This window comes from Homo sapiens, chromosome 5 (genome assembly GCF_000001405.40).
Source record: "Homo sapiens chromosome 5, GRCh38.p14 Primary Assembly".
NCBI classification, from domain to species: domain Eukaryota; kingdom Metazoa; phylum Chordata; class Mammalia; order Primates; family Hominidae; genus Homo; species Homo sapiens.
Genome location: NC_000005.10, coordinates 59766805 through 59781090, shown reverse-complemented (window position 1 = coordinate 59781090; position 14286 = coordinate 59766805). Strand labels below are relative to the sequence as shown.

The window sequence follows — 14286 nt, the reverse complement described above, 5'->3', positions numbered from 1 at the left end:
AGGTTCAAGCGATTCTCCTGCCTCAGCATCCTGAGTAGCTGGGATTACAGGCACCTGCCAGCACATGTGGCTAATTTTGCATTTTTAGTAGAGACAGGGTTTCACCACGTTAGTCAGGCTGGTCTCGAACTCCTGACCTCAGGTGATCCACCCTCCTCAGCCTCCCAAAGTGCTGGGATTACAGGCATGAGCCACTGCGCTCAGCTCACCATCGCTTTTAGATAAGGAAACTGAGCCCTAGAGAGTGGTTGGCTCGCCTCAGGCTCCAGGACAAATATGACTTAATCAAAACTATACTCCTGTTCTTTCATTCACATAAAACTACTTATCTAAGGATGCTGCAGCAACACTGCTGTCAGGCCAGAATTCAGTAAGTTTACAGCTGAGGCCTTATCTATAGACCATTGATTTTGCTCAAGGAAAAAGTTACACAAACTAGCAATAGAGTCCTGACCAGGCATTACAAATTCTACACTGATGTGTAAAAGAGGGACTAGGCACAAAGAATACATGCTTAGCACAATCTATCTTTATTATAGGAAAAGCAATTTAAAACATATTTTACTGAGTAGTGCCAGAAAATTACCGAAAAAGAAAGTTAATGCTTTTTCCTTCTCAAAACCCTTCTATAATGTGTAGGCATTGTCATATTAGAGAGACTCCTGGGAAATGCTTGGTCAACTAAAATTGTTAAAGAGCTAAAATTGAACATTGACTCAGAAGCAATGTGAAATACATCTTCCCATTTCCAGGATGGAGTGCAGTGGTGAGATCTCAGCTCACTGCAACTTCTGCCTCCTGGGTTCAAGCAATTCTCCTGCCTCAGCCTCCTGAGTAGCTAGGATTACAGGTGCCTGCCACCATGCCCAGCTAATTTTTTAATATTTTTAGTAGAGACGGGGTTTCGCCATGTTGGCCAGGCTGGTCTTGAACTCCTGACCTCAGGTAATCGACCTGCCTTGGCCTCCCAAAGTGCTGGGATTACAGGCGTGAGCCACCGCGCCCGGCTCACTGACGCTCTTCTTAATTTCTTCTGCCTAAGAAATAGAAGGTATTCTCGAGGGAAAAAAGGCATTGACAACTAGTACAGGGAAATTGATGACAACATAAGGCTGTTTGAGGAAAAAACGTGGGATCTCAAAGACTGTTGGTGGGAGTGTAAATTGAATAATCTACTTTGGAGAACAATTTGGCAGTTTCTATTAAAATTTAAAAATGCTGATATCTTATCAGTTAATCCTACTTCTAAGTATCTATTATTAAAAAAAATACTTGGCATGTATTCCCAATGCGTTTTGCAAGAATGTTCTTTGTAATTGTCAAAAGGTGGAAATCTGAATGCCCTCCAGTAGGGAAATGGCTAAATGAAATATGAAATAACCATACTATTGAATACTATGCATCAGCTAAAAATAGCAAGAGATCTTTGTTGAGTGAAAAAATAAATTGCTGATTGATCATTAAATATAACACTATGTTTTTAAGAAGCCTCAGAAAACAGTAATATATGATCCTATAGGCATAAAATTATTTATGATATCACACGGAGGTCTATAGAATTTATTGTCCTCTATGGTAGCCACTAGCCACATGATGCTATTTAAGTTTAAATTAATAAAATTAAATAAAAATAAAAATTTCATGTCTCATTTCTACGAGCCTCATTTCACGTCCTAATAGCAACATTTGAATGGTGGCCAGTGTAATGGAGAGTGCAGATCTAGAAGAACAAACACAACTGGTAACAGAGTTACCTGGGGGAAGGTTGAGTTTGGGGATGGAGGGCTACAGAAACTTTAGAGTTCTGCAGAACTTTTAACATTTTTACAATGAGAATACATCATATATTATCTAGCTAATTTAAAACAAATACATTGTTAAAATGAAAAGCATGCCTAGCCAAAGGATTTCTTTCTTTTTTTTTTTTCCGAGACAGAGTCTTGCTCTGTTGCCCAGGCTGGAGTGCAGCGGTGCAATCTCGGCTCACTGCAACCTCCGCCTCCTAGGTCCAAGAGATTCTCATGCCTCAGCCTCCCAAATAGCTGGGATTACAGCATGTGCCACCATGCCCAGCTAATTTTTGTATTTTAATAGAAACGGTTTTCATTGTGTTGGCCAGTTTGGTCTCAAATTCCTGACCTCAGGTGATTGGCCCAACTTGGCCTCCCAAAGTGCTGGGATTACAAGTGTGAGCCACTGCACTGGCCTAGCAAAAGGATTTCTAAAACAATGTAGAATTTTAGTAGATAGATCAGTATAAATTGATTTGAACACCCTACCTTTTTAGCCTGTTAACTATCTAAAAGCATAAAAAATAGTAAAACAAACGGCAAAATCATTTCCTCCTTCCTTTTCTACCTGTGTCTAGTGTCTATTGAACACTTACTATATTCCCAGCATTTAAAGTACAAGAATCATGAGGCAACTGCTGTTTAGACTGAAGTGTTTTCACCAGGGGTGTATCAAGAGGATTTCTTTGTCATAGGTTGATTTCCCTTATAACTGATTGATTAAATAATTACTAGTTGGCTTATGCAATGTTTATATAATTACAGGATATAAATGGTGGTTATTAGCCTAACTAGAATATATGCCTTTATAATATTGGTGTAATATTCATATGTATTTTACTACAGCTTAAAATAATAATTTCAGAAAGAAATTCAAATTGATTTTCATAATTTAGCAACCATTTGAGCTCTTCCAGGTCAGAATAACTTCTTGGGAAGCCCCAGAAAGAAAAGCATATACCTGCTTTTACAGTTATCCATAGATTGACTATAAGGCTAGGTATTGAGTTGGCGGATGCATACTTTCTTAATTCTTTAGATAATAGGTCAATAGTGTGGTAGTGAATCTTGATGGTAAGTGTCCTTCGCATGTTTCATACTGCACAGTAGACTAGACTGAAAGTCCCAGGAGACTGTGAGTGTAGCAAAGAATGAATCTTGTATCCCCAGATACACAAAGACCATGTCTTCACTGGACCCACAGAACCTAGCACATGGTGTGTCTTATTAAATGCTTGTAGAATAATTAAATAAATTACATTCAGAAAACAGTCTATAAGTCTTAAAGTTTACCTTTCAATTATGTAATTATTACTTTTAATTTATAATTTATTAACAGACATAGATATTCACAACACCTGCAAAAGAGTTTATTTCAACTTCTTTTTTTTGTCTCATCTAAAAAGTGTGGATTTAATATAGCAAAGTTTGCTTCTAGAATGGAATCTTTTAGAGTGTATATGCGCTTTTGAAAAAAATGGTTTATGATTTTGTTATGTAATACTGTTATATAAGTTATTTTAGAAATTGCATGATTTATTATAATATCAGCAGTGAATTTAAACATTACACAAATGCCTGAATATAAAGAAATAGGATCACCTGTGTCCAAGTTAATTGCCTTCTTTTGCTGTATTCATTAGCCATCAATACCTACATAATCTAAGGCCAAGATACATATGGAGCAATCTATGGACAGGCAATAGCATCCCATGGGAGCTTTGGAAATTCAGGAGCTCGAGCCTCACCCCAGATGTACTGAATCAGAATCTTTATGTTAGCATGGTCTCCAGGTGATTTGTAGGTCCATCAATGTTTGAAGAGCACCTGTCTGGCCTTCAGTTGCCTTTATACATCTTCTTACCAACAGTACCATCTAGTCCAATATTTTTCTGTCCTGTTAGTTTGTCCATAGTCTCCCAACAGGCTTCTGTCCACAAAGCTGTTATTTAGAGGCATGGCCCCATCCCTCTCATAGTCTTTGCTAAGGTTATGTCTTTTACATTTGGAGATACACCAATTGCAGAGGAGGGTGAAATTAGCCTGAGAGCAGGACCATAACAATAACCTGATTCTAATGGAGGCTGTTACCAGGGCAGCCAGTACCCGAACTAAGTCATCATTCTGCTGGAAGCATTCCGTTTGGCTGCAGTTCAACAAAAAGAAAAAAGAACGCACTCCAGAAAATCAGGAAGGTTTGCATTATCTATCAGCTATGTTCAAGGAGATGTTTGTGGAAAGTCGAGTTAAGGGTTCCTGGAAACATTAATCTCTGGACATGCTGGAGGATGCAGGTGGATTTAGAGCCAGGCGAGTCTACATTCACAAATCACATTAACATATTAAAAGACGGAGAGCTCTTACTCTGAGGAGCCCCATTTAGTTGTATTCAACCCAGCTCCATATATTTTTTAAATCACAAAATGCTTTTTTTTTTTTCGTGAAACATTCATTAAAATTAGGCAAAACTCATCTTCGGTGAGACATGCTTTGTGAAATGTGAGTGGAGAGGTTCCTCTGAAATTGTCTAAAAGGTAACTTAAGCCCTGATGTTTTAGAAAATTTGACTTATTATGTAACAGTGAATATACCTATCTGTGTAGTTTCACTATTTTAGAAGTAAAACAATGCTTTGATTTCAAATATTAAATTAACTTAGGCATTGCTCTCCCACTCCATCTCCCAAGCTGTGACTCAGATATCAGAACAAATTTTTTACCTAGTTAGGGAAAAAAGTTTCCCAAGTTTCAGAGCCATAAAAGCATCAGTAAAGCACCTATTTATTGTAGCACTCTCTTGTTTTCCATCTTCAATTTCCTAAACATTGAATATCTTGTTTTTCATTTTTCTTCTAAAAGCATTTGTGGTATATAATAACACCGCATGAAAGTGGAAGAGACTATATTGGCTCAGGATGCACTTGATATTTGTTTTCCTTAAATGACAAATGAAACTCCCAATTCAACACTAGGATAAGATTTTTTTTAAGTTATTAAACCTTAGTTAAGTTATATGACTTCATACTGGGAAAGTGAGTTCCAGAGAAGTTTAATGAACTTGTTGAAGGTGACTTTGCTAACTTATTACAAAATGGGGAATACAACTCTGGTTTCCCTAATGCCTTTTGTAAAGCATCCCAGATAAAAATCTAGGTTTCAGAAGATTCCTTATAGTTAGGTATGAAAAAATGTTATTTCTGAAAATATGATTTCCTTATGAGAAACCATTGTTTAGATATGTTTAACTTTAGAAAAAATTTCCAACTATAATTAAAATCTATGAATTATAGACATGTTCAGTGAAATACACTGTCTCATAGAAACCATATTCAAAAAACAGAATGACTGGAACAGATGTTATGTATGGGGATTAGAGGGAAGTTATCCAGTTATATTATACTAATTTGAGAAAGATTCCAAAAAAATCCTTTCTTGGGGGCCGGTCAGGGGTGGGTATAGCAAATGAAAGAGAAAGATAAGGAAATGTGTTCCTTGGTGTTGAGTTTTGAATAGATCACTATTGTGTTATATTCCTCTGAATTTAGGATACCTGTTGGATTTTGTTCCTTATCATGTCTGTTATGTGGACAAAGACAACAAACGTTTGTTTCTTCTTGTCAATTTCATTATGCACAAGGATTCTGAAGGTCCACCCAAGATCTTTCGTGCACTAAATGTCTGGTGTTTGTAATACAATGAACAATTTTGGGGAGTTTGAAAATCTTTTGATTATGACCTTGAGGATTAGAGATCATTTGGTGTGGATGACTTCGAGGAAGTTATTTAATTTTTTTTTTGTATGTCAGTTTTCTCAGATTTAAAATGTGGGTAATAGTAACCACCTTGTTAGAATGATTGTAATGATCAAAACATGTAATAATGCAAAGTGCTTATGCTTAGTGCACTAGTGTTTTGCACTTACATCTAGTTATTTTTTTCTCAGTAATTCAATAGGCTAAGGGATGATCTAGTACAGATTGAGATATGGGATTTTTGTTGTTGTTGTTGTTGACAAGTTGCAGACAAAATGTTTGGTTATTCCTCTCACTGAAATAAAACCCAGAAATATAGGGTATTATAATATGTTAAACATTTAGTGGCTATCAAAACTTATTTTCTTCTTTGAAGTCAGAGTAATATTTAGAGAGGGCATTCTGGGGTTTCCTTTTAGCAAAATAATTAGAAGTAATTTCCCTTAGAATTTTTAGAATGACTATATTAGGAGGAAAGGGAAGGTTCTTACCTAAATTGTATTGCAACTTTTCTCTGAAATAAAATAAACATGCTGTGTTAAAATTGCTGGTATAGGCCAGGCACAGTGGCTCATACCTGTAATCCCAGCACTTTGGTAGGCCGAGGTGGGAGGATCACTTGAGGTCAGGAGTTTGAGACAAGTCTGACCAATGTGGTGAAACCCTGTCTCTACTAAAAACACGAAAATTAGCCCGGCATGGTGGTTGGTGCCTGTAATCCCAGCTACTCACTACTCAGGAGGCTGAGGCAGGAGAATCACTTGAACCCAGAAGGTGGAGGTTGCAGTGAGCTGAGATGGCACCACTGCACTCCAGCCTGGACAACAAAGCCGGACTGTGTCTCAGAAAAAAAAAAAAAAGAAAAAAGAAAAAAAAAATGCCATTGTAAGTTGTGCCCTATAAAATGTTAACGTTTCTTTCAAGTGAAATAATGACTTACTATTTCAGCAGAGATCACTCTAACATTTAGTTTTAATCTAGGAAAAAAACCCCATATAACTAGATTTGGTCTTTTTATTAAAATGAATTGATCTTAGAAGAGCACATCATATGCTCAAAATATAGCTGTCATGTAAATCAAGACATATATTTGTTTTGTTCAATGAAATCTAGAAACTCTTAAAAAAACTGTTTACTGGCTTTTGATGTTTAATTGGGTGGAATGTATAAGAAATATCTGATGAATTTTTGACTTCTCTATTGACTTCCAAGCTTATATACAGCCAATGAACAAACTTTTCTAAGTCTTGTACTCTCTTTCCATTTCTACACAAATTCATATTGAATAGGAAATATTGAAATAAGATCTTTAGAATCCTCCTCTTGCAAATTATAGAACATATTAAAACCAGGTTAAACTTATTTAAATCTCTTTATATATTGTTTACCCACCTACCACGTAAATGTTACTGATTTTTCCATAGTAAAAAGTCTAAAAATCCAATGCATCTTACCTCCCCTAAACTACCTATCTCTCCAAACCTCTCATTATTCCTCCATATGTACCTTCTTTCAAGACTTAATTCAAGCCCTGCCTTGTTTTTGAGTTATTCTCTGTCTAGATAAATTATTGGTCACTCCTTTTAACCCAGAAGGCACCAATCATTTCTATTATTAATTTGATTCTTAGTATTTATTTTCTTTGTTGGGAGTTTTATTTATATTCCCTTCTAAAGTAGATATTTTACTTTTTTGGAAATCTCTGCCTACTAGCCCAGTACCTAATAAAAGGTCAATGATGATGATGATTTGAAAAACCATGTTCTACAGTGTTCAGATGTGCTTTTAGATAAGGGGATGATATAACTTTATCATCAAACTTTATAATGAAAAATAATCATGATGAAAATTTAAGATAAAATAATTTTAGAATATATTATTTGGCTAAGTGGAAAACTATCATGGAGTTTAATTAAAATTTCTTCATATTGAAAGAAGACAGGTATATAGAGGAGAAAAAAACATAAAAACAAAAAACATCTCAGGAATTCCACCTTCAGCTGCCCTTACTTCAATACCATGCCTCAGAAAGAACTTCATGACTTGGCAGGTTTACAGGTTGACTCAGTGTATATGCTGAGAATAGCCAAGGGCAAAATTTAGTGTTAACTAGATCAAGAACTCAGGGGACCCAGGTGTCTACTGTTTTCCATAGAAATAACCATAAACAATTTTAAATACTAGATCTGCTTTCCTTTTGGGTTTGTATAATGTAGAGTCAAAATAGAGGCTCTGGCACCTCATAGACACAGATTTAAATCCCATTTATGCCATTGGTAAACTATATGACCTCTGGCAAGTTATTTAACCTCCTTATGCCCTCATCTCTAAAATTGTAGTACGAAAGCAACACCCTAAGTATGATTGCAAGGATTAAGGGAAATAAAATGCAAAGTTCCTGGTACATAATTGATATCTACTAAGTGTGAATTTCTCTAAGTTCCTCATATCACATAATGGTAGATTTTTATTTACTGGGTGGTTATTCTGTACCAGGCACTCTCCTAAACACTTATATCATGGGGATTAACACATTTAATCCTTGTAGCATTCTTTTGCAATAGCTACTATCATCATCATCCTCATTATTATCGTCCTATTTCACAGATCTGGAACTGAGCCACTGAAAAGTAAAGTAACACAACTAGTAACTAGTACTTCTGGGGTTCAAAATAAACTTTTCATTTCTAAAATTAACCCATACCTTCTTATCCAGTAGACAACATAACCTCTCCCACTATCAGGTCATTTCCATGGCCTATATCCTGTGGACAATTTGAAAGCGATTTCCTTTTAACCCTTGTTTATCTAATTAGAACATAGTTTGGAGAAACATACAATGTTTTCCATAGCTGAGTATAAATCATTTCTTCCATCCTTTTGAATTAGCCACATCATTGCTCTCTTTCCATTGTGGGAAATCTAGCCTTGCTTGTTTGTACCTAGACAAAAGCACACTTTTTGTGTCAGAACCTGTGAAAATCTCATCTTCCTTGTTACCACCTATAAATGATTAATGAGACAAAACATTTTCAAGGATTCCAAATAATCTAAAAAATCCCACAAATTTTGAAAATCCACAAAGAGGTATCTAGGAAAACTTTCATGAAGTTAAGAGATGTTATCTGCTGTTCTAGGCGTGGGTGACTTTATCAAAACATTTCGCCCACTTTCAAATTTCCACTTGTTAAAACCTGAGGCCTTATTTGGCTGTCACTTACTGTACAGTGTTTTTCAGACAAGTTCCTGGCAGCTAATTTTAAAGAGATTTTGTGAAAAACACAAGCTGTGGAGTGCTCCTGTTGGAAGAGCACCCTCTGACCCTCTGCCTTAACATAAGAAAAAATTGCCAGTCTGTCCAAACCTCACCCACCTTTGGTTATCTTCAGAATCTTACAATTTGTGTTTCCTAAGGCAGCAATTTTCAAGCATGACTTTGAAACACTGCAGGCTTTTTCAAGTTATTTCAAGGACTGGCCAAGAATTCTCAAAACAAAATTAATTTTGTATTTTTAAAAAGCAGTATGCATATCATGTATCATTTGGCAGATTTAGGAGGTTAACAGTAAGCATTAGGAAATTGAATCAATAATAATAATGGGATATGGGGACCTGTAAAGAAACTCTCAATCCTGCTTCATTACTTTTAATGGCAAAAACTGTAATTACTTTTGCACCAACCAAATACACTGAAATCCTTTAACATACACCAAAGCAATGGGAGATCTGCAGAATGCTTTTGTCCATGTTTAACCATAATGATCAATGCATTTTGAATAGAATATTGTTATATCTACTATTTAGCTTAATTGTGATCATTAACAAAGTGCCCAGACTCTCTGAACATTCTACATGGCATACTATTTGTGAGAAGATCAGCATGTAAATAGTTTACTCTTTGTAAGCTCTTCTACAAGGTGGCTAAAAGCAAGAACTAGAACCCAGAGTCCCTTGCATTCAATGAATTTCCCTATTATTGCCCATATCATTCTTTCTTTTCTTTCTTTCTTTCTTTCTTTCTTTCTTTCTTTCTTTCTTTCTTTCTTTCTTCTCTCTCTCTCTCTCTTTCTTTCTTTCTTTCTTTCTTTCTTTCTTTCTTTCTTTCTTTCTTTCTTTTTCTTTTTCTTTCTTTCCTTCTTTTTGAGATGGAGTCTCGCTCTGTCGCCCATATCATTTTTAGTATAATCTCTTCCTTTACTTGGTCACTAAGAATCACTTTTCTCTACTTAGAGCCAGACATTTAAATATCTCCAGCCTCCAAGATCTCGTCTGGGTACTTGGGCTGCACTTTTTCATGTCAATCATTTTGCACTTGTCATCTATCCTATTAGGCTATAAGCTCCCCAAGGGCAGATATAGAGACATAGTATCAAGCTAACCTTTTTATTTATTTATTTATTTATTTATTTATTTATTTTGAGGCTGGGTCTCGCTCTGTCATGCAGTCTGGAGTGCAGTGGCATGATCATGGCTCAATGCTGCCTCAACCTCCCAGGCTCAAGCAATCCTCCCATCTCAGCCTCCTGAGTAGCCTGGGACTGCAGACGCATGCCACCACACTCAGCTATTTTTTAATGTTTTATAGAGACGGGGTCTTGCTATGTTACCCAGGCTAGTCTTGAATTCCTGAGCTCAAGTGATCTTCCTGCATTGGCCTCCCAAAGTGATGAGATTACAGGTGTGAGCCACCACACCTGGCCAAGCTAATCTTTAAATATCCTAGAGCACCCATTATAGTGTCTGGCAAAAAATAAATGCCCATAAATGTTTGTTGAATGGAACTGAGTCTTCAGAAACTAGAGATTTTTTCTAAAATATTTTTTTTTGCCATTTCAGTTTAATACATATTAGTTTTTCTCACTTATCCTATCATCTGAATTTTTTATTTCTTTGAACCTGAACAGGCTTTGTGTCTACAGACTGCTGAGCCTTTAATTTTGTTGTCGTTTGTTTTGTTTTGTTTTGCACAAAACTAAAAACATGTACAAATACATTTTTAATTGCATTTGTTCATTCTAGTTTTTACTCGTAAAGTGCACTTCTTTCTTTTCTTTCTTTCCATTAATTTCTGAACCTTCCCTTCTTAAACTTTACCCAGAGTTTTCTCATCATATACGCATTTCATTTTCATTGTACTTTTCTGCATCTGACTATTTCATTTTCCAGTTGTTCTGGTATGTTTTTCTAAGTATTGTCCAATCCTTTCCATTAAGTTACAAGCTCCTTGAGGGCAAGCATTGCACACCTGTTTTGCACAACTTCTAAGGCCGTTCAGTCCCTCAGCCCACTGTATAGAAATATAGTATATATATAGACAATACACACACACATGCACACACATACCTTGCCACTTAATGATGTAAAGTGACAAAAACTTTTATATTGGTAAAAATTATGAGAATAAGAATAATCATATCCTGATTCTTCAAATTCAAATATTTGTCTAACATTTTTTGATGAAGTCATAGCACTTATGTGTCATTGAATTGTTGTGGGCATGCTAACAGGAAAGATGGACCAAGTGGTTGACCCTGTCCTTCTGTGAATAGAACCTCAGAGTACACTTTTCTGTAAACATTTAAAAGACAAGGAATTGGAACTTAAAATGGAGCAACCAGGGGGGCAGGGAAACAGAATAAACTTTTAAAATTGACCTAATAGTAATCATAGGAAACAAAAAGAATCATTCCAGTCTCCATTTTTTTTTTTCTGGATGCATTTTGTAGCTCCCTAAGTTATTGGGTTTTTAAGAAACATAAAATATTCCTAGATCGTTAGAGATGTGATTTGATTTCAATCCCACATGGTCTGTAGCATCACTAAGCTACTGGGAACTTCCCTATGCAAAGGTTTGAGTTTCTTTCCAATGCTGTTTAATGTCTGCACTTCTAGTGTCCACATAAATGAGATTTAACAGGCTTTACTTCATACTTTCTTGTTACAACATTTTTACTTTTTTTCCAATTGCAAAATTATTTCTTTTAAGCTCTCTGAATAAGTTTGTTGAAGCTCTATTCATCACACATAAAAATCTTACATTAAAAGGCAATAAAGGAAATCACGAAAAGCTAGATGTATTCCACCCTCTTATAGTTGAATACATAAAATTGTATATATCACAAATAGTAATTGAAACTACTCTTATGAAAACTATCTGTCCTTCTGGAGGGGCATTAGTTTAAATGCAAAGAGAAAACATATCATTTGTGAGTCTAAATAGTGTTGTTAGTTCTTTGAAAGGGCCCTAATTAATAAGGTTGTAGAACACAACTGCAACCTGTAAAGCGTTCCATGTGTAGTATTTTGAAACCTTTTGTTTGTTTGGGTTCTAACTAGAGACAGAGGGAGAAAAAGTCAATTTCATTCTCATGGGATTTGTCTTATGTGGTTCATCAGATTGAGTTTAGTAAGCAGGGAAGTATTTCTCCTTGTGTAGCTAGTGCTTGTTTATTCTTCCCTTATTAAAAAAAAAAGAGAGAAAAAAACAAAGGATTGGCATTTTTCTTTTATGAACGTGGACTGTAGGGAGATAAATAGCCCTGCGGGAGAGGAAGGTCAAGTTCAAAGTTTTTCTTTCCTTTGGATTCAGGAATAAGCAAATGGAAAGACTAGCCAAACAACCCAGCAGCAGGCATCTGATGGTTAAGCCCTCCCCCCAGGACTTTTTATGTACATAAGCAGCAGAAGTCACTCGCGCAGCTGCGGCGCATTAGTTCCAATAGTTTAACAGGCTGCTTTGTAGCACGGACAAAGCCGTGCGAGCGCGGTGCTTTCCCTCCTTGTTCATTTGCTATGCGAGCTTGTCAGTGATCTTTGGCAGGGGCTTGGGAGAGGAGGGGTGACGTTTAATACGCTTCCGCGGAGGAGTGCGCTCGCCTCCTCTGCACCCAGCCCCAGGCTCTACAGAGAGACTGAGGCAGGCGACTGAATGCACTAACAGCAGCAGGCTCAGACCTGCTTCCCTGGACATTTCCGGGACCGTGAGCGAGGGAACCACGTTGCCCTGGATTCTTGCCAGCTGTACAAAGTTGACCAGGAAAATGGCTCAGCAGACAAGCCCGGACACTTTAACAGTACCTGAAGTGGATAATCCGCATTGTCCAAACCCGTGGCTGAACGAAGACCTTGTGAAATCCTTGCGAGAAAACCTGTTGCAGCATGAGAAGTCCAAGACAGCGAGGAAATCGGTTTCTCCCAAGCTCTCTCCAGTGATCTCTCCGAGAAATTCCCCCAGGCTTCTGCGCAGAATGCTTCTCAGCAGCAACATCCCCAAACAGCGGCGTTTCACGGTGGCACATACATGGTAAGGTTTGCGCAGACCTCGCAGAAATGGTGGCCGTTTCCCTTCAGGGAGTCCTGCTCTCGCGCCTTTAATTTTGGGGGTAGGGAGGGAGGACCATCATCATTCCTCACCGGGGATTTATGGCCAAGTGATCTCCCTTAACCATAAATCCCACAAATGTCCAAGTCAGGGCAAGAATCCTGGAGACTGGTACTAGGAGTGGTTGAGGTGGGTGGTTCTCAAAGTTCAATTCCTATTGCAAGTTCCTACAAGAAAATTGGATGCCAGATGTCAAATAAGAATGCAGTTTTATTCCCATACGTACGTAGTGGCGTTTCTTTGATTCCTTAAACCAATTTCCCTGCCAGCTTCCCCAACAGCTGAGGAAAGAAAGGACCAGAAATGAGGGGAGGAAAATCATAGTTTGCTCTGTTTTCTGCATGATCCCCACTTGGACAGAGACACATACAGTGTGTGTGTAATGGTGGTGTGTCTTCATAAAGCCCTTCCTCACTCCTGACTTTGATATACAGTATTCATAATCTTAAACATGCCTTTCCAAAGGAAAGAAGAAAGGGATTAGGAATTCTACGCAGAAAGTTGCAGGCTGGTACTTGGTAGTATTGTTGTGTTCTTTGAATTTGGATTGTTAGAACATTTTGCCAATCTTTTTATTTTCTTTGTGAATATTTTTATCTTCTTTATAATGGGTGAATTTGTTTCATGCATATGCTTCCATGTATTTTTCTGGAGGATTCCTCATCTTTTCCTGCTCTTGGAAAAAAAAAAAAGAAGAAAAACCCAAATATTAAAACAGACCATCATGTGAGCTTATTTGGAGTATTTGGAGTTTCTGCCTGAGTAGAGGCCATTCCAAACTCTGATCAGTGAGTCCAAGTACTAGGGTCTATGTTACACACTTAGATAATTTCAGGTAGTAGTAGGTTCTATACATTACATCTACATTTTGATAAGATGAGTATAAATTATGATAAAGAAAACATAACAAAAAAGAATGAGTGTGTTAGTTGAGAAACTGTATGACTAAATAATTTTTTACAGTTTTGCCATAACTAACTAAACAGTATGTACGTTAGCAATGGGAGGGAAAAAAAAAGCAGAAACAAGGCTTTTAGGAGGAAAGCAGCAAAAAGTAAAAGGAATTAAAACCTAAACCAGTGACAAGACCGTGCTCAGGAATGCATTGATGTTATAGATGAAAGTCAATGACAAAGGAAATAAAAGCCATGTCACACCCAAAGACATGACCAACCTCAAAAATTTGGTTTTAAGTAGCTAGATCTCTGACTGGGAAAGTGTTATTGTCCCCAGGATTTTAACACCTAGATGGCATTTCTGAGTTTGGTAGATGTAATGGCCATAAGAGGAGTGAGACAAACATTGACTTTTTCTGTCTTAAAGCAGTTATTGGGAAATGATGGCTTCTCTTTGAGGAAGATTTT

General features: G+C 36.9%; 1 protein-coding gene across 22 annotated transcripts in view, besides 3 other annotated features; it reads left to right on the top strand.

Annotated features, from left to right (window-relative positions):
- The window catches only part of PDE4D (phosphodiesterase 4D), a 1553091-nt gene that overhangs the window by 741038 nt on the left and 797767 nt on the right, over positions 1–14286 (top strand). For 4 of the 22 annotated variants that reach the window (NM_001197218.2, NM_001364603.1, NM_001364602.2 and 1 more), the window contains exon 1: positions 12243–12844. The exons of the other annotated variants lie outside the window; for them this stretch is intronic. In NM_001197218.2, coding sequence (NP_001184147.1) covers positions 12582–12844 — 263 coding nt within the window. In that variant the 5' untranslated portion in view covers positions 12243–12581. Of the gene's footprint in view, positions 1–12242; positions 12845–14286 lie in introns of those variants that run through there. 22 annotated transcript variants of the gene reach the window in all.
- Positions 11949–12464: an enhancer, noted in NCBI's record as "NANOG-H3K27ac-H3K4me1 hESC enhancer chr5:59064453-59064968 (GRCh37/hg19 assembly coordinates)". NCBI's record gives its function as "activates a minimal SCP1, AML or CMV promoter by ChIP-STARR-seq in primed H9 embryonic stem cells {active_cell/tissue: H9 hESC(primed)}" and the evidence as "EXISTENCE:reporter gene assay evidence [ECO:0000049][PMID:30033119]".
- Positions 11949–13349: a biological region, named in NCBI's record as "BRD4-independent group 4 enhancer GRCh37_chr5:59063568-59064767".
- Positions 12150–13349: an enhancer, noted in NCBI's record as "BRD4-independent group 4 enhancer chr5:59063568-59064767 (GRCh37/hg19 assembly coordinates)". NCBI's record gives its function as "activates an origin of replication core promoter dependent on BRD2, P300/CBP, MED14 and CDK7 cofactors, and independent of BRD4, by STARR-seq in HCT116 cells {active_cell/tissue: HCT116}" and the evidence as "EXISTENCE:reporter gene assay evidence [ECO:0000049][PMID:35650434]".